The sequence below is a fragment of the Homo sapiens genome, chromosome 17 (genome assembly GCF_000001405.40).
Source record: "Homo sapiens chromosome 17, GRCh38.p14 Primary Assembly".
Lineage (NCBI taxonomy): Eukaryota > Metazoa > Chordata > Mammalia > Primates > Hominidae > Homo > Homo sapiens.
The window spans coordinates 49,016,653-49,035,283 of record NC_000017.11 but is presented as its reverse complement, the minus strand read 5'-3'; the positions used below and the strand labels follow the sequence as shown (position 1 = coordinate 49,035,283).

Here is an 18,631-nt window from a genome sequence, read left to right as displayed (position 1 = left end):
TCAGTGTAAGGTAGAAGTCCAAATTCATCTTTTGTCATGTGGATATCATCGAGCTGCCCCAGCATCATTTGTTGAAAACACCTTATCTTTCCTAATAAACTGTCTTTTTAGCACTTTGTGTGAAAATAAAAACAAAAACCAGCCGATCATAAACGTAAAGGCTTTTCTAGGCTCTGAATTCTATTCCATTGATCAGTATGTTTATCCTGAAGCCGGTACCACACTAATTTGACTACCGTAGTTTGATGTAAGTTTTAAAATTCGGGAGTTTAATTCTTCCTTGTTCTTCTTATTCAAGACTGTTAAGGTTTTTCTGCATTTCCTCAAGATCAACTTGTCAATGTCAGCCGAAACTGCATATCTTACGGGATTTATGTGACAATCACAAGTGAAAACATGTAATAAATTAAGGGATTTGTCATTTTTACACCTATTAAGTCTGGCACCTCCTTTGGTTGAATCCACCTCTGTGGATTCCATCTTGAAAAGTTTTGTGTTTTTGGTTTTTCGTTTTTTTTGTTTTTTTTGTTTTTTTTGTGTTTTTTTTGAGACAGGGTCTTACTCTGTTACCCAGGCCAGAATTCAGGGGCATGATCTCAACCCACTGCAACCTCCACCTCCACCTCCACCTCCTGGGCTCAAGCAATCCTCCCACTTCAACCTGCTGGGCATGTGCCACCATGCCCAGCTAATATTTTGTAATTTTTATAGAGATGGGGTTTTGCCATGTTGCCCAGGCTGGTCTTGAACTACTGAGCTCAAGCAACCCACCCTGCATTGGCCTCCCAAAGGGCTGGAATTACAAACATGAGCCACTAAACCCGACAGCATTTTTAAAGATTTTGAGGTTTAAAAAAAAAAAAAAGGCCAAGTGTGGTGGCTCATGCCTGTAATCCCAACACTTTGGGAGGCCAAGGTGGGCGGATCGCCTGACGTCAGGAGTTCAAGACCAGCCTGGCCAACATGGGGAAACCTCGTCTTTACTAAAAAATACAAAAAATTGCCAGGCATGGTGGCAGACACCTGTAGTCCAGTAGTCCCAACTACTCGGGAGGCTGAGGCAGGAAAACCACTTGAACCCGGGAGGTGGAAGCTGCAGTGAAGAGAGATCGCACCACTGCACTCCAGCCTGGGCAAGACTCCATCTCAAAAAAAAAAAAAAAAAAAAGGGGCAAATCATGATATAATTCTAACACTTTGGGGGGGCTGAGGTAGGAAGATCGCTAAGGCCAGGAGTTTGACACTAGCCTGGGCAACATAGCGAGACTCCCATCTCTAAATATTAAAAATTTTTAAATTGGCCCAGCATGGTGGTGCATGCTTGTTATCCCAGCTACTTTAGAGGCTGAGGCAGGAGTATTCCCTCAGCCCAGGAAGTTAAAGCTGCAATGAGCTGTGTTTGCAACACTGCACTCCAGCCTGGGCAACAGGGAGAGAGTGTCTCAAAAAATAAAATAATTATTTTTCTTTTAACCGTGGCAAAGACATAGGAATTGGAGACAGAATGGCTTGCTTACCACTTGGAGACTAGAGTCTCAGTATATTTGGTATGTCTGTAAAATGGGGCTGAATAAGATTGAAGGGAGGGCACAAGCATCATCCATTCCCAAGGCTGACACTGGTTAGAAATGTTAATAAGGCAGCCGGGTGCGGTGGCTCACTCCTGTAATCCCAGCACTCTGGGGGGCTGAGGTGGGTGGATCACTTGAGGTCAGGAGTTCGAGACCATCCTGGCCAACATGGTGAGACCCCATCTCTACTAAAAATACAAAAATTAGCCAGGTGTGGTGGTCCACACCTGTTAATCCCAGCTACTCAGGAGACTGAGGCAGGAGAATCACTTGAACCTGGGAGGTGAAGGTTGCAGTGAGCCAAGATCACGCCACTGCACTCCAGCCTGGGCGACAGAGTGAGACTCCGTCTCAAAAAAAATAAAATAAAAATTAAAAGATTAAAAAAAAAAATTAGCCAGCCGGGCATGGTGGTGTACACCTGTAGTCCCAGCTACTCAGGAGGCTGAGGCACAAGAATTGCTTGAATCCAGGAGGCGCAGGTTGCAGTGAGCCAAGATTGCACCACTGCACTCCAGCCTCCTGTACGACAGAGTAAGACTCAGTCTCAAAATAATAAATAAATAAATAAAAAGCCCAGAAATGTTAACGAGGTAACAAAGGGCAGGCGAGGTGGCTGAAGCTTGTAATCCCAGCACTTTGGGAGGCCAAGGCAAGCGGATCACTTGAGCCGTTCGAGACCAGCTTGGGCAACATGGTGAAACCTCGTCTCTACAAAAAAATACAAAAATGAACCAGGCATAATGGTGCATGTCTGTAGTCCCACCTACTTGGGAGGCTGAGGTGGGAGGATTGCTTGAGCCCAGGAGGTTGAGGTTGCAGTGAGCAGATATCATGCCACTGCACTCCAGCCTGGGTGGCAGAGTGAGACTTGTCTCCAAAAAACAAGAACACAGCAACAATAGGCAGGAGAGAATGAACAACTGTTGACATGAGCTTTAAAGCCAAACCCTAGTGGCCACAAGGGGCAGTAGGAACCTCTAGAAAATTCTGAGCCCAGGAGGTATCTAAAAGAAAATGGTAGGTATTTGAAGAAGAGGTAGGATTTTACATAGTATTATTAGATTGGAGAAGGCGGCATGTTAAGAAGCAAGAAAGCCCAAAGCAAAATGTGGCAAAAGCCTATAACGGGCTCGGATATTAATATAAATGAGTAATGCGCAAAATGTATAGTCTGTCTGTAACAGTGAGTGAGACGCATAATTGCTCAATCAAAGGGCTAGGAGCTAAAATTGTGGGTGCGATGGGACTAAAAGGACCCCACAACTATCACCAGCTAGGTTTACGACCATCACTGCAATAAAATGTCCCAGCATCCCAAGGTTGAGGAATCTTTTTTGAACCCCGAAGTTCCCCCTCATTATCACTAGATGGCGCCATGAACACGGCAAAGGACTCTAAGGTCCTGGAGCAACCAGAGACCTATCAGCAGGGGACATTTTCTCTGCAAGGGATTTCCCACTTATCTGGGAGGGCTTTGGAGCCCTCCCTTCTATGTATTTTTGCTATCAATCTTGATGTTTCTGAGCCTTTGAGATCCCTGAAACAATGGACATGAAGGAGACCCCCTGAAGAAACCTTTTATGGAAGATTCTAGGTTTGGCTTGGGCTAATATCAGAACCCTGGATGGGGACCCAGCCTGCCTAGACCCCCCTGAGGAAAAAGTGGGACCAGGCTCACACCACCCTTCACAGAACCCCCCCCCACCGCACCCAGCCCCACTTCCCAGCCCACTCACTGCCTGGTCTGCTCCCGGTTGGAATAGGTGACATTCACCACTGCCGTCTCACTCTCGGTGTTCACTGCAGAGAAAAGAGAGGATAACCTCAGAGCAGGGAAATCTGGAGGCCCAATCAATGAATCCCCAACTCCAGCTTTCCACGTTTTGAGATCAAGAAGACATCTGGCAGGCCAGACACGGTAGATCACAACTGCAAATCCTAGCATCTTGGGAGGGCGAGGCGGGCGGATCACTTGAGCCCAGGAGACCAGCCTGGCCAACACAGTGAAACCCTGTCTCTACTAAAAAATACAAAAAGTAGCCGGGCGTAGTGGCACGTGCCTGTAGTCCCAGCTACTGGAGAGGCTGAGGCAGGAGAACTGCTTGAATCACTTGAATCTAGGAAGCAGAGGTTGCAGTGAGCCCAGATCATGCCACTGCACTCCGAACCTGGGCAACAGAGGGAGATTCCACCTCAAAAAAAAAAAAAGAAGAAAGAAAAGGACACCTGGCAGATACTCCAACTTGAATAAAAAGGCAAAAAACTTTTCCCCTTTCAAGGAAGCTACTAGAAAATTCAAATTTACCAGGCAGAGCATGGTACCTCACGCCTATAATCCCAGGACTTTGGGAGGCAGAGGCAGGCAGATCATTTGAGCTTGGGAGACCAGCCTGGTCAACATGGCAAAACCCTATCTCTAACAAAAAACACAAAAATTAGCCTGGCGTGGTGGTGCACCCTTGTAGTCCCAGCTACTCAGGAGGCTGAGGTGGGAGGATCGCTTGAACCTGGGAGGCGGAGGTTGCAACGAGCCAACGCACTCCAGCCGGGGTGATAGAGTGAGAGCCAGTCTCAGAAAAACAAAGAAAGAAAATTCAAATTTACCTTCTTGCTTTTTGTAATTTCCTCAGCCGGTTCCCAAGAAAGTGGATATACAAATGGGTGTAGCCACCCTATCAGCAGTTGTACAACAAGGCTATACAGCAAGGCAAACACTACTACCCACCTCCACATACACACACAACCTGGGAGTAAATTCCCCTTAGAAAGTTAAACTAGTTGGCCAGGAGCGGTGGCTCACACCTGTAATCCCCAGCACTTTGGGAGGCCAAGGCGGGTAGATCACCTGAGGTCAGGAGTTTGAGACCAGCCTGACCAATATGGTGAAACCCATTTCTACTAAAATTACAAAAATTATTAGCTGGGTGTGCTGGCATGCGCTTATAGTCCCAGCTACTTGGGAGGCTGAGGCAGGAGAATCGCTTGAACCCGGGACGTGGAGGTTGCAGTAAGCCAAAGATCGTGCCACTACACTCCAGCCTGGGCGACAGAGCGAGACTCTGTCTCAAAAAAGAAAAAAAAAAAAAGTTCAACTAGTTAAAAATCAACACACGCTGAATGAGATTAGCAATTTATAGAAGTAAACATCCCAAGAAATGGCCTGCAAAGATATGGCTGACAACACTTGGAAACACCTAAATCCATTCTAGAGGCCTATGTATCCTCAAGGACACAAGAACCAAAGTGTATTAAAATCCAGCTAAACAGAGGCCGGGCACAGTGGCTCACGCCTGTAATCCCAGCACTTCAGGAGGCTGAGGCAGGTGGATCACTTGAGGTCAGGAGTTCAAGACCAGCCTGGCCAACACGGCAAAACCCAGTCTCCACTGAAAATACAAAAATTAGCCAAGTGTGGTGGTGCATGCCTGTAATCCTAGCTACTTGGGAGGTTGAGACAGAAGAACTGCTTCAACCCAGGAGGTGGAGGTTGCAGTGAGCAGAGACTGCACCACTGAACTTCAGACTGGGTGACAAAGCGAGACTCTATCTCAAAAAAAAAAAAAAAAAAGTCCAGCTAAATGGACTGACAGGAATGGCTGTAGAAGTCTAGAAAGAAAAAAAAGAATTTGCATGTTTTCCAGGGGAAAGGATTTCCTGTCTTGGATGTGGCCATTGTAGCCTCAGGATGCTAGTCATTGATCCCATCAAAATTCTTGGCTCTAACTAGGAAAATGGTTTGGCAAGCTGACATTAGAATCCCAAGCAGTCTGGAAACATATTTCTCACTTACAATTATTAAAATTAACCGTCTGAGGTGGGAGAATCACTTCAGAAGGTGGTGCCAGGAATTTGAGACCAGCCTGGCAACATAGGGAGACCCCGTCTCTACAAAAAATTAAAAAAAAAAAAAAAAAATCAGCCGGGTGCAGTAGTAAACACCAATAGTCCCAGCTACTTGGGATGCTGAGGCAGCAGGAGAATCACTTGATCCCAGAAGTTTGAGGCTGCAGTGAGCTATGATCACACTGCATTCTAGCCTAGGAGGCAGAGCTAGACTCTGTCTCTAAAATAAATAAATAAATACATAAAGTTAACCTTCCTTCTCCTGTATCAATGTCTTGTGAATTTGGGTCCCCTGGGCTTGCTCAACCATGGGGTGGGGGACCCTGGCTTAAATTAAGCCTCTGCCCCCCACAACACTGAGGACAGATAAGGCACTTGGTCACAAACTTCAGTGCAAAGAATCTGTCATCCAGGCTGGAGTACAGTGGCGTAATCAGAGTTCACTGCAGCCTTTAACTCCTGGGCTAAAGCTATTCCTCCCATCTCAGCCTCCCAAAGTCCTCGGATTACAGGCACGAGCCACCACGCTAGGCCCCAGGCCACTCTTAACTGCTCTGGTCTTCATCAGTAGGTCTCTCCCTCCTCAGTGGTAAGGAAGCTTCTGCAAGAACAATCTTCCAGTGACTGGAAATACAGTAGTAAACCAACAAAACCTCTGCCTTTGTGGAGCTTATGGAGAGATAACAATAAGCATAATAAATAAGCAAGTTCTACAGAATATTTGACAGTGATGACTGCTATGGAAAAATATAAATCAGATGAGGCCAGGTGCGGTGGCTTACTCCTGTAATCCCAGCATTTTGGGAAGCCGAGGTGGGCGGATCACAAGGTCAGGAGTTCGAGACCAGCCTGGCCAATATGGTGAAACCCCATCTCTACTAAAAGTACAAAAATTAGCTGGGCATGGTAGTGGGTGCCTGTAATCCCAGCTACTTGGGAGCTGAGGCAGGACAACCGCTTGAACCCAGGAGGCGGAGGTTGCAATGAGCCAAGATCGCACCACTGCACTCCAGCCTGGGTAACAGAGTGAGACTCCATCTCAAATAATAATAATAATAAATCAGATGAAAGAGGATGGGATAGGTAGAAAGAATGGACCTCACTCACAAAGTGACTTTTGAGCAGACTCAAGGACTTTCTCTACTGTCCAACAAAGTCAAACATTTCCCATACTGTTCTCTCCAGGTAGCAGATATCCTTCCAGACAGGGTGTGTTACAGCTCCCTAGTGAGCCTTGGATAAATTTAAACTAGTGTTGATTCCTTACACACCTCTCAGTGAAATTCAGCATGCACTTGCTCCCAAGCCACTGCTCAATCTTACTGTTTGTCCAGGAGTAACTTATTCATTAGTCTAAACTGTGAACAGTACTGGGCAGTAGTTATCAGTGAGTCCTGTTGTATCCTGGCATTTAAGATAAAAGGCAAGCCACAGGATTAGAGCAGGTTAGAATGTGTTTGATAGATTCAGCAGTTTACTCTTGCGTGGGTGAAGGTTTTCATCATTTATAATCATTTATAACTTGCCCCTTTCCACAAATAATTTGGAGAGGAATATTTAAATCTCAAACCAAGTGATTATCCACTTGTTTCTTGAAGATCTCCAAACCTAACCCAGTATCTTATCTACCTAAAGACCGCCTTATGTCCAACCAAAGTCACTTTCCATTACTAAATGGACAAAACTTATTTTGTTTTGTTTTTGAGACAATACAGAGTCTTGCTTACCCAGGCTGGAGTGCAGTGGCACAATCACAGCTCACTGCAGCCTTGGCCTCCTGGGCTCCAGCAATCCTCTTGCCTCAGCCTCCCTAGTGACTGGGACTGCAGGCATGTACCACCACTCCCAGCTAATTTTTTGTAGACATGGAGTCTCACTGTTTCCCAGGCTGGTCTCAAAACTCTCGTGGCTCAAGAGATCTGCCCACCTTGGCCTCCCAAAGTATTGGGATTACAGGTGTGAGTCATTGTGCCCAGCCGGCAAACTTTTTTTTTTTTTTTTTTTTTTTTTTTTCTGAGACAGAGTCTCGCTCTTTCGCCCAGGCTGGAGTGCAGTGGCGCGATCTCTGCTCACTGCAAGCTCCGCCTCCCGGGTTCACGCCATTCTCCTGCCTCAGCCTCCCAAGTAGCTGGGATTACAGGTGCCCGCCACCACGCCCGGCTAATTTTTTATATTTTCAGTAGAGACAGGGTTTCACCGTGTTAGCCAGGATGGTCTCGATCTCCTGACCTCGTGATCCGCCTGCCTCGGCCTCCCAAAGTGCTGGGATTACAGGCGTGAGCCACCGCGCCCGGCTGGCAAACTTTTTATGACCTAGAATTCTTTATCATTTTTCCTTCTGTGGGCCTACTCTTCAAAAGACTTTGCTTACCTATTGAACTACATTAACTAAGTAATAAATCCTCTGCTTTTTATTTTAATTGACCAAAGACATATATTGCTACCAATCAGAGCTTCTAAAAAGAGACAACCGGTTGATTATTCCAGCCAAAAGCAAGAAACACGAAGCTTTTCAAGTAAAACGGCTGCAGAGTAACTCCGATTGAATGCAAGATTTCTGTTCTTAGACTAGTTCTAAAATCCTGGGATAGCCATTTCTACCTTGGTTGATCCCTAAGAGCCTGGAGACTCCAGGCTGGGAAGGAGTGGCTTTGTTCAAGCCTCCTGCTAAACAGAAGAGAAACCCAGTTCCACAGATAACCAAGATCCGAAGCCGAGGCCAGGAGTCCACGCCCCCAATCCAATGTATTTCCCCGCCTAACACATTCTATCTGCCTTTCTTCTTTTGGTTTTCAATGTAGATTTGATCACAGAAAGTGAAGCAGAGGCCGGGCGCAATGGCTCACGCCTGTAATCCCAGCATTTTGGGAGGCTGAGGCGGGTGGGTCACAAGGTCAGGAGATCAAGACCATCCTGGCCAACGTGGTGAAACGCGTCTCTACTAAAAATACAAAAATCAGCTGGGTATGGTGGCACGTGCCTATAATCCCAGCTACTTAGGAGGCTAAGGTAGGAGAATCGCTTGAACCCAGGAGGCAGAGGTTGCAGTGAGCCGAGATTGCGCCACTTCACTCCAGCCTGGTGACAGAGCAAGATAGACAGGAAGGCAGGAAGGCAGGAAGGCAGGCAGGAAGGCAGGAAGGCAGGCAGGAAGGCAGGAAGGCAGGAAGGCAGGAAGGCAGGAAGGCAGGAAGGAAGGCAGGAAGGCAGGAAGGCAGGCAGGAAGGAAGGCAGGAAGGAAGGAAGGAAGGAAGGGAGAAAAAGAAAGAAACAAAGTGAAGCAGAACAAATGCACCAAACTCCTCCAACCCCCACCACGAGTGCCACCCCACACCCGGCCCACTCTTACCTTGCTCACAGTTCTCTACTGTACCATACTGAGCCAGCAGGCTGTCCAGTACCTAGGAGAATGGAGAAGGGAAGTACACTTAACTCTGAGTCCCAAGACCCTTGCAAAGCAGCCACTGGACACCCTGCATCCCAAAGCAATCGGGCATTGACAGAGCCATAGGAGTGTTTGAGCATTATTACCTGTCCAGTGTGACCTTTCTAGGGTGCTAATGCTGATGGGGTATCTTTGCAGGAGTGTACTTAAGTTCTGCCTTAAGGGCCTTTTGGGAAGCAGACCTGGGCTGCCTGGGTCCCTAAATTATCTTCTGCCATATTACCAAGTTTAGGGCTTAGGAAACACTCATCCACCTCCCTAATGTCTCTCACCATAGGGACAACCTAAAGATGGGGCTGTGGGTTACATGAGGCCAGGCACGGTGGCTCACTTGAGGTCAGGCGTTTGAGACCAGCCTGATCAACATGGTGAAACCCTGTCTCCAATAAAAACACAAAATTAGCTGAGCATGGGGGTACACGCCTGTAATCCCAGCTACTTGGGAGGCTGAGGCAGAAGAATCGCGTGAACTCAGGAGGAAGAGGATGCAGTGAGTCGAGATCGCGCCACTGCACTCCAGCCCAAGCAAAAAGAGCAAAACTCCATCTCAAAAAAAAAAAAAAAGAAAGAAAAGAAAGAAAGAAAAAGAAGAAAGGATGAGACTCAAAAAGAAAAAAAGAAAGAAAGGATGAGACCCAGGCCTCCCTAGCCTGGCCCCAGACCTCCCCAATCATTTCTGGCAACTCCAGCTAGTCCAGACGTACTTTCCAGGCTCCACTATCCCACTCCATTTAGAGTTTCCCCCAAACACTTACTTCCCATCGGAGCTGGGGTGGAATATTTCGGATTTGAATTTTCCGGCTCCTGAAAGTAAAGGGGGAGCAGAGTTAAAGAAAGCTCTGAATACATTAGGGGTCTGTGAACTCGCAGTTTCTAATCCTTGCCCCAGTTTCTATTTCCCCACCTTCTGCTCACCAACACCATAGTCTTAAAATCTAAGAATACACTTTTAGGAATGGAGACTTGGAGTAGGGGTACCCGCTTTAGAGACCAAAATTATCATGGATGCTACCATACCTAGGAATGCAGAATCAGGTGTTCTAAGCACTCTGTTAACATTCCCAACACACACACACACACACACACACACACACACACACACACACACTTTGTTTGTCCCACCACTTTCTCATTCCTTTATTCAGTAAGCAGGTTACCATGACTATGTTCCAGGCACTAGGAATACAAAGCTAAATAAGACATTATTTTTTATGTTTTATTTGTTTTTGAGACAGAGTCTCTCGCTCTGCCACCCAGGCTGGAGTGCAATGGTGCGATCTCGGCTCACTGTAACCTCTGCCCCCTGGGTTCAAGCGATTCTCCTGCCTCAGCCTCCCTAGTAGCTGGGATTACAGGTGTGCACTACCACATCCGGCTAATTTCTGTATTTTCAGTAGAGACAGGGTTTCACCATATTGGTCAGGCTGGTCTTGAACTCCTGACCTCAGATGATCTGCCCACCTCGGCCTCCCAAAATGCAGGGATTACAGGCATGAGCCACAACACCCGGCCCAAGACATTATTATTAATTAATCTAACAACCATTTAATTGATACCTACTTCACATACTACTTTGTTCCAGATGCTGGAGACACACAAATAAACAAAGGAGACAAAATGCCTGGTTGAAGGTGTTCACAATTTATTAGGTGAGATAATATATGCAAACAAATCACAGCAAGATATAGTGCAGTGGTTAAGTCCTTGGCACAGATATGGATTTAAACCTATGCTCCACTTACTAATACTGACCTTTACAAGATTGTTTAACCTCTTTGAGGCCGTTTCTTCCTACGTAAAACAGAGATAATACCTTTCCACAGGGTGGTAGGGTGGTAGGTGATGCTAGAAAATGTAAGTACTTGAAGTATAACAATAGATGTATCTGTGAATACTAAGGTGGGAGTGATTAACACACATACAAGTCAGCATAATGCCACTACCTTCCCCTCTCCCAGTAACTATACAGTACTGTCTTCTTTCCATCTTTATTATCATTATTATTAACAATCTTGTAAAGTGCTCTGTCACCCAAACTGGAGTGCAGTGGCATAAACACAGCTCACTGCAGCCTAGACCTGCTGCGATCGAGTGATCCTCCCAGCTCCCACCCTCCTGTATAGCTGGGACCACATGCGCATGCCACTATGCCCAGGTAATTTCTTCTTCCCATCTTTAAAATGTAATTTTTAGCCACGCGCGGTGGCTCACGCCTGTAATCCCAACACTTTGGGAGGCTGAGGCAGGCGAATCACTTGAGGTCAGGAGTTGGAGACCAGCCTGGCCAACATGGTGAAACCTCCTCTCTACAAAAAAAAAAAAAAAAAAAAAAAAAAAATTAGCAGGGTGTGGTGGCACGTGCCTGTAATTCCAGCTACTCAGGAGGCTGAGGCAGGAGGATCGCTTGAACCAGGGAGGCAGAGGTTGCAGTGAGCCGAAATCACACCACTGCACTGCAGCCTGGGCAACAGAATGAGACTTGTTTAAAAAAAAAAAAAAAAGGTAGTTTTCCCTGAGGAAGGCTTTCAGGCTCAGGGTCGACTCCCAGATCACTCGCTCACCACCCAAATAAATGCGCTAATCCCTGGGTTTAAGATTTTTAAATTGACTTGATGCATTGGCCAATTGCATTTATATCTTTGTTTATCCTTGATCATAAACTCTTAGTCCAAGGACAATGTCCAAAAAAACTCTAGTGGCTTGAAGGAAAACTGAACTAGAAAGCAAGAAAGTCTAGCCCTTAACCTGCCCCTGACTGGCTGTCCCTCTAATTAAGCCTCTCTTAAGCTTCGGGCCTCAGTATTCCTACCTGACATGCAATGGGGACAGTGCCAGCCCTGCCAAGCTTGGGGGAAGGGGTTTGAAAACAGGGAAGGGGGATGCTAAGCTCTAGTTGTAAAAGTGTTGACCTTGGCTGTCCTGAGCCAGTTCACTCACTTTACCCATATGACCTCAGTATCTCCAGGTTTACAGTGGGTACAGCAAGATCTTTATGATCTTTTCTAGCCTGCAATTCTAAATGTGGAGAGTCTTCATCCATAAAATATGTTAAGGAAATCTCTCCCAGGGATGAAATAATGGGGAAAGAAGGAAATAAACATTGAAGAGAATCTCTGTCTTTGGCTGTCTTCTTTGGTTTGTTCATGAACTTGACCTAAGTAAGTCAGATTATAGCAGGACAAAATAGTAAGATACAAATCCAGTTCCAGGTCCCCAGATGCCATCAGACCACCTTTTTGTGATTCAATTCATTGGCCAAGAGGGAACCCCCACATCTACCCTTGTGAGGAATTTCCTAGAACTCATTCGATGACCAACTAGACAGACTGAAAATGTAGAAGCCCTCACAATGAAAGCAAAACTGCCGGAAGAAATGAGGAAAAGAAATGGCCATGCCATTGGAAGGTTGAGAACGCAGACCTAGTTTAACACCTATAACAGGTATTGCTTCGGCCCAGGCCCAGGACCTCCCTCAAGGGAACACTTCTGGATGTCTGGATGAAGGGCAGAGAGGTGGGGGTGGCTTACCTGGGAGTTCAAACCAGTAAGGGCCTAAGGGAACCCCAGTTTAGGGGCCCAGTTTGAAGTGTGCTCTTTCAAGATGGTCCCTTAGTACAATCTAAGGTCAAAGGTCAAAATTCCCTCGCACTTCAAACTCCCAGTTTTAGAGGCTTTCTTTCGTGGAGGGGATGGGGGAAGGGAGAAGGGTGGCAGTGGTGAAATCAAATCTCTGCTAGGATGTTAATCCATATCCTGAAAGCAATGGCAGGCAGATCGTCTGGAATGTCTGGAATGTTCCAGGAGAGGGAGGGGGAGGAGGGCAGGGCCACCCAACCAATGAAAGAAAAGACATCCTGGCAGCCCTCCCCTGCCCCCAACCAGCAGGGACTCACCCAGCCCTCCAGGGTACACACCCCACCCTGGGAACCCACTCCAGGCCCCTCCAGGCTGCCTCCTTTCAACAAAGCCCCCAGCCCTGATTAAAACACAACAGCGGGAGGGGCGGGGCGGGGGGCAGGGAGGCACAGAGGCCGTGAAGAACCTTTGTCTTTTAAGCCCTTGGCCCGGTTTCTATTAAATATGGTGCTACCTAATTTCTTTCAGGCCTCAAAGCACATGGGGCATTTCTGATCACTGTAACCCGTATTCCCTTCCCTTGGTCCCAGTCTCATTCATTCCACAAACACTTAGAGAAGGCCTGGTGTAGGCTGAGCTGGGGCAGTGTGTTGGGAACTTGGGGGATCCAGATGGAAGCTAAGAGCACCCTAACTGGTTACTTCTTCACTCTGAACCTTAGTTACCTCCTATGAAACTTGAATAAGGCTTTTATAAAACAAGCTGCCTGCCATGTAGTAAGCACTCAAACCATGTCCAAGTCCCCAGTCCCAGGGAACTGGAGTATCCAGACTAGTATGGAAAGAGGCAGGCGGGTAGGGCTGACAATAGTTAACAGTTATTAAGATTTTACTTCTGCACTGGTGGGGAAAATAGTGAAAAATACCACTGCCTAGAGCCCCACCCCCATCTCCCCAGTTAAAGGGTCCAGGGACCAGGGACCCGCTCCAGCACTTCAGTAGACCAGCTTCTACCAGAGCTGAGAAGTGCCTTTGCCCTATGGGCAGTATCTTCTGGGCACCTTCTATATGCCTGGATTGCCTAAACCGATGAACAGCCATTGTTCAGAAAAGGAAGGTGAACTCTGAGTTCATTAGTCCCTCCCCACCACCCTCCTATAGCTGATAAACCTGTGGATTCAAAGAATGAAGCAACCAGCCCCTGGCAATAAAGGCAACAGTTGCACCAGCCTATTTTTCTGGGTGCCAACATGCTGTGGCTTCTGGTGTCCTCTGCCTTCCTTGATGTACAGAGCAGTTATCAGGTCCTGGGCCAGGGGTGGGGCACGTGGGGACGGGGGCGGCAGCTTGCCAGATACATAGCAGCTATTGAGGACTCACCTCTCAAACGCTGCTGGGCCAAGGAGGAGGCATAAGAGCCACAAAGACTGAGTGACCATCCTCCAGAAGCCCAGGGGTGATTCAGGAGAAAACAGAGGGAAAGAGCATCCTTGCAACAGCTTAAAAAGCTATGTAGGAAGTAAGAGATTCAGGAAGCACAGGGAGCAGGGCCCCTGGGAGGGAGATGAGGTTGGGAACTCTCCCTGGGCTGAGAGTTCTCATCCTTCATACCTCAAGAGTTCAGAGAAGTGTCACTGACTTACACCAAAGAGAAAAGAAAACAGTTCTCAATTAGGGAAGAGCCTGCTTTTTTTTTTTTCCTTTGAGACAGGGTATTGCTCTGTCATCCAGGCTGGAGTGCAGTGGTGAGACCTTGGCTCACTGCAGCCTCGACTTCCCAGGCTCAAGGGGTCCTCCCACCTCAGCCCCCTGAGCAGCTGGGGCCACAGGCACATGCGCCATCACGCCTGGCTCCAATTTTTTTTTTTTTTTTTTTAATTTGTAGAGACGGGGCCTCACCATGTTTTCGAGGCTGGTCTCACACTCCTGTCTGTCCTCAAGCGATCCTCCCACCTCAGCTCCCAAAGTGCTGTATAGATGTGAGCCACCACACCAGGATGACAATAATTTCTTGATGTCATCAAATACCTAGTCAATGTTCAATATGCCAAATAATCACTTTTCAACTAACTATGGAAATACGCTGCTGGAAGAAGAAGTTAATAGCTTAAAGAATTATAGGTGGGATGTTTTGATTTATCGGAGTGCAATTCCACGGTGCAGACCCACTGTTCACTGGGTCGTGTGAACTCTTAAGTGTTTTTTATTTTGTCCTCCAGCCTAAAGTGAGTTTACTTTGGCAAATGCTTTTTGTCCCTTTTATGTCATCAAAAAGGCAGCATAGGGACAGTGCGAAGAGTCTGGATTCAAACAGGCTTTGGGTTCAAATTCTGGCTGTGGTTCTGCATGGCTGTGTGACTTAGACAAGATACTCAACCTCTCTATCTCAGTACCCTGGTCTGTAAAACATCCGTTGATACCACCTTAGTGGGTAGGGAGAATTATATGAGATAATGAATCTCAGAGCCTGGCGTGTTAATTCCCTTCCTTTAAAGGAGAAGTTAGGGCCAGGTGTGGTGGCTCACGCCTGTAATCCCAGCACCCTGGGAGACCGAGGTGGGTGGGTCATGGGGTCAGGAGTTCAAGACCAGCCTGGCCAACATGGTGAAACCTTGTCTCTACTAAAAATACAAAAATTAGCTGGGCGTAATGGAGCACACCTGTAACCCCAGCTACTTTGAAGCATGAGAATTGCTTGAACCCAAGAGGCTGGGAGGTTGCAGTGAGATCGCACCATTGCACTCCAGCCTGGGTGACATAGCATGACTCTGTCCCCCACCCCACCCCACCCCCCCAAAAAAATACATACATATATATGTGTGTGTGTGTATATATATGTGTGTGTGTGTGTATATATATGTGTGGGTGTATGTGTGTGTGTGTGTGTGTGTATATAAATATATATATATATATATATATATATATATATATATATATATATAAATTAGCCAGGTGTGCACCTGTGGTCCCAGCTATTCAGGAAGCTGAGATGGGAGGATCACCTGGGTCCGGGAAGCAGAGGTTGCAGTGAGCCGAGATGGCACCATTGCACTCCGGCCTGGGTGAGAGAGTGAGATCCTGTCTCAAACTAAATAAATAAAGTATAAGTTAGGAGCCAGGCACAATGGCTCACTCCTGTTGTCAATCTTTTAAAGTCATATTGTAATTCTTATATTTTAGAAATACATACTGAAATAGTTACAAATAAAATGACATGTCTAAGATTTGCTTCAAAATAATCAGAGCACAGGGGAAAATGACAACAGACTACATATGCATGGTAATTTTAAAGCTAAGTGATGGATGGTACACAGAGGGGTTATTACATTATCCTTTCTACTTTTATGTTTATATTTCTTTCCATAATAAAAAGGTAAAAACTAAAAAGACGTAATTCCAGCTCACCCAGTTCTGAAGTTATTAGCAGTTCAAAATTAATAGAAACTAGTATGAAGTAATGATGAAATTTTCCTATTGGTGTTCTATTCGAAAGAATCCAGAACCTTGAGGAGCTTACGGGGGGTTGGAAGGAGACAAGGGCTTGGGCTCCAAGGGAGGAAGGAGCAAATGCACCAGATGAGATGGTCTCAGAAAGAGGCCTCCCAGGAAAGCACTGTGCACAGTGTGAATGGGAGACTGAAAACTACCCCTGGGACTGGTATTTCTCTAATCCTCTGCAAACCTGCTCCTTCTTTCAGCCCCCATACCCAGAAGCGAGGATGCCATTTTCAATCATGTTTATGGCCTCCCTCACCCCTCCCTAGAGGGAGGACTGCCTTTAAACTGGGGTGGGGCAAGCCAGTTGAAGGAAGGGAGGAGGGCAAGGTGGGAGCAGGTTTTGGAATCTTGTCTAGTTTGGGGCCCCAATTCCCCTAGGGCCCCTGTCATGAGTCAAGCCTGGACTTTCATCTCCAGCAAAGAAGTAGGATTAAACCAGGATCTTCAGATTAGAACCTTCACCTCCACCCCTCCCCCAGGCCAAGCTTCTGGCTCCATGTGTGGCCTTCAACTCTGGACCTCAGTTTCTCACATCTGGGAAACTAGGAGTAGGGTTAGTCCATCTTAGAGGGTCCTGTGTCCCCAGACAGGGATCAACCCTGTCTACCTATAAGGAAACACCTTCTTAATTAGAGGGATTTTCTGTGTCCTAATAGTCTGAATAACTGGTTCTTAACTTTTTTTTTTTTTTGAAACAGTTCCTATTAGGATAAAAGGCAAGAACATTCCACCAGAAAAATGCACTTTGCACACCATTTCAAGATTTCAGGGATTAATGAAGACTTTCGAATCCATCCATAACCCCAAAGTAAAGGCACACTCCCTAACCCCCATCCCCACCTAACACAATTTAACTTCATCCCAAAGATATCCAAGTCTTCAGTCATGGCTGCAGGCATCTCAACAAGTAGAGAAGGAATCAGCCTGAGGCAATTAGACAACAAAGCTAGACTGGGAGCCAGTTTGGGGTTCCCAGGATACTGGAAAAGAGTGAGCAACAAACATGTTTCAAACCTGCAAAAACACACACACCATGCTCACGTCATCTAACAGGTACCAGATTTCTAATCAGAAGTCAAGAAGCTGGTGGTTTCTGGTAAGGGTCCAGCTGCTCGGAGCCATTCTTTTTTGTTGTTATTGTTGTTATCTTGACAGCTACTACACACTGGGCCTTCTCCGTCCACTACAAGAGCCACTAATTACATGTGGCTGCTCTACTGAGGCTCTTACAGCGTGGCCAGTCCAACTGAGCAACTGAATTTTTAATTTTGTAACTTTAAGTGTTAGGCCAGGTGTGGTGGCTCACACCTGTAATCCCAGCACTTTGGGAGGCCGAGGTGGGTGGATCACCTGAGGTCAGGAATTCAAGACTAGCCTGGCCAACATGGCGAAACCCTGTCTCTACTAAAAATACAAAAATTAGCCGGGCGTGGTGGTGCATGCCTGTAATCCCAGCTACTCGGAAAGTTGAGGCACTTTGGGAGGCCGAGGCAGGTGGATCACCTGAGGTCAGAAGCTCAAGGCCAGCCTGACCAACATGGTGAAACCCCATCTCTACTAAAAATACAAAACATTAGCCAGGTGTGGTGGCAGGCGCCTGTAATCCCAGCTACTCGGGAAGCTGAGGCTCAAGAATTGCTTGAACCCCGGAGGCTGAGGTTGTGGTGAGCTGATATCATGCCACTGCACTCCAGCCTGAGCAACAGAGTGAGACTCTGACTTGAAAAATAATAAATAAATGAATATGAAATAATTTTAATCTAGTTTAGAATACTAGATTTCTAAAACTTAAGTACCCTCCAAAAAGCAATCTCTTTAATAATTATTTATATTGATTGCATGTTGAGATAATTTTTTATATATTGGGTTAACTATCTTTAAAATTAATTTCACCTGTTTCTTTAATATGACTCGTAGAAAATAGAAACTTACATGTATGGCTCACATTGCATTTCTATTGGACAGTGCTGGGCACTGTGCTACAGTACCCAGCACATAGGCATGGTCCCTGCTTTGACAGGGTTTACAGTCCAGCAGGGGACCTGGTTTGATTTGATTTGGTCTGGTTTGGTTTGGGATAAGAGGACAAAGCTAACCAGGGAGTGAGGGAGAGCTGCTCACTGGACCCCTTCAGAAGTAGGTGATTCTGCTGACTCTTCAACAAGAGGGTTCCATGTGGCTGACACCAGAGTAGAAGCCCCCTCCCAAAGCTGGCCCCTCTCCCAGTTGTCGCTCCCATCTGGAAGTTGCCCTAAGGTGCCAACCTCTGCCTTTTCCAGAAAATCACCACTGACTCAGTCCTTCCTCCCCACCCCGCCTCCTTATCCCTACAGGGTGGAGAGGCGGTGAAAAAAAAAAATTGTCCAAGAAAACTTCTGAAGGGGGCGGACCTGGCACGCTTCAGGATGGCAGTAGCTGAGAAAGGGGGCGGGGGCGGGGAGGGGAGGAGGAGCTGGCCGAAAGCCCAGGGCTCTGTGCCAGGCTGATCCAGAGGCAGGGCAGCCAGACAGGCGGGAGGACAGGCGGGGGGGCAGGAGGACAGGGGGGCGGGCGGGCGGGCTGGCGGGCTGTCGAGTGGCAGGCTGGCAGGGGTAGGGGCCAGAAAACATTGACCTACTGGGAGATGTGGGACTGGGCAGAGCAGATGCCACCACCACGAAGAAAGCCAGAGTGTGAGGGGACTGGAAGGTGAGGAC

General features: G+C 46.9%; 1 protein-coding gene across 10 annotated transcripts in view, besides 2 other annotated features; it reads right to left on the bottom strand.

Moving 5' to 3' along the window:
• IGF2BP1 (insulin like growth factor 2 mRNA binding protein 1) overlaps window positions 1–18,631 on the bottom strand; it is a 59,588-nt gene that overhangs the window by 20,862 nt on the left and 20,095 nt on the right. For all 10 annotated transcript variants that reach the window (XM_047435139.1, XM_011524201.3, NM_006546.4 and 7 more), the window contains 3 exons: window positions 9,618–9,666; window positions 8,767–8,818; window positions 3,311–3,374 (listed from right to left, as the gene is read on the bottom strand). In XM_047435139.1, the coding sequence (XP_047291095.1) occupies window positions 3,311–3,374; window positions 8,767–8,818; window positions 9,618–9,666 (165 nt within the window). The remainder of the gene's footprint in view (window positions 1–3,310; window positions 3,375–8,766; window positions 8,819–9,617; window positions 9,667–18,631) is intronic.
• Window positions 1,800–2,341: an enhancer, noted in NCBI's record as "H3K27ac hESC enhancer chr17:47110305-47110846 (GRCh37/hg19 assembly coordinates)". NCBI's record gives its function as "activates a minimal SCP1, AML or CMV promoter by ChIP-STARR-seq in primed H9 embryonic stem cells {active_cell/tissue: H9 hESC(primed)}" and the evidence as "EXISTENCE:reporter gene assay evidence [ECO:0000049][PMID:30033119]".
• Window positions 12,543–12,837: an enhancer, noted in NCBI's record as "tiled region #671; HepG2 Activating non-DNase unmatched - State 14:Gen5'". NCBI's record gives its function as "activates a minimal TATA promoter and a strong SV40 promoter by Sharpr-MPRA in HepG2 cells {active_cell/tissue: HepG2}" and the evidence as "EXISTENCE:reporter gene assay evidence [ECO:0000049][PMID:27701403]".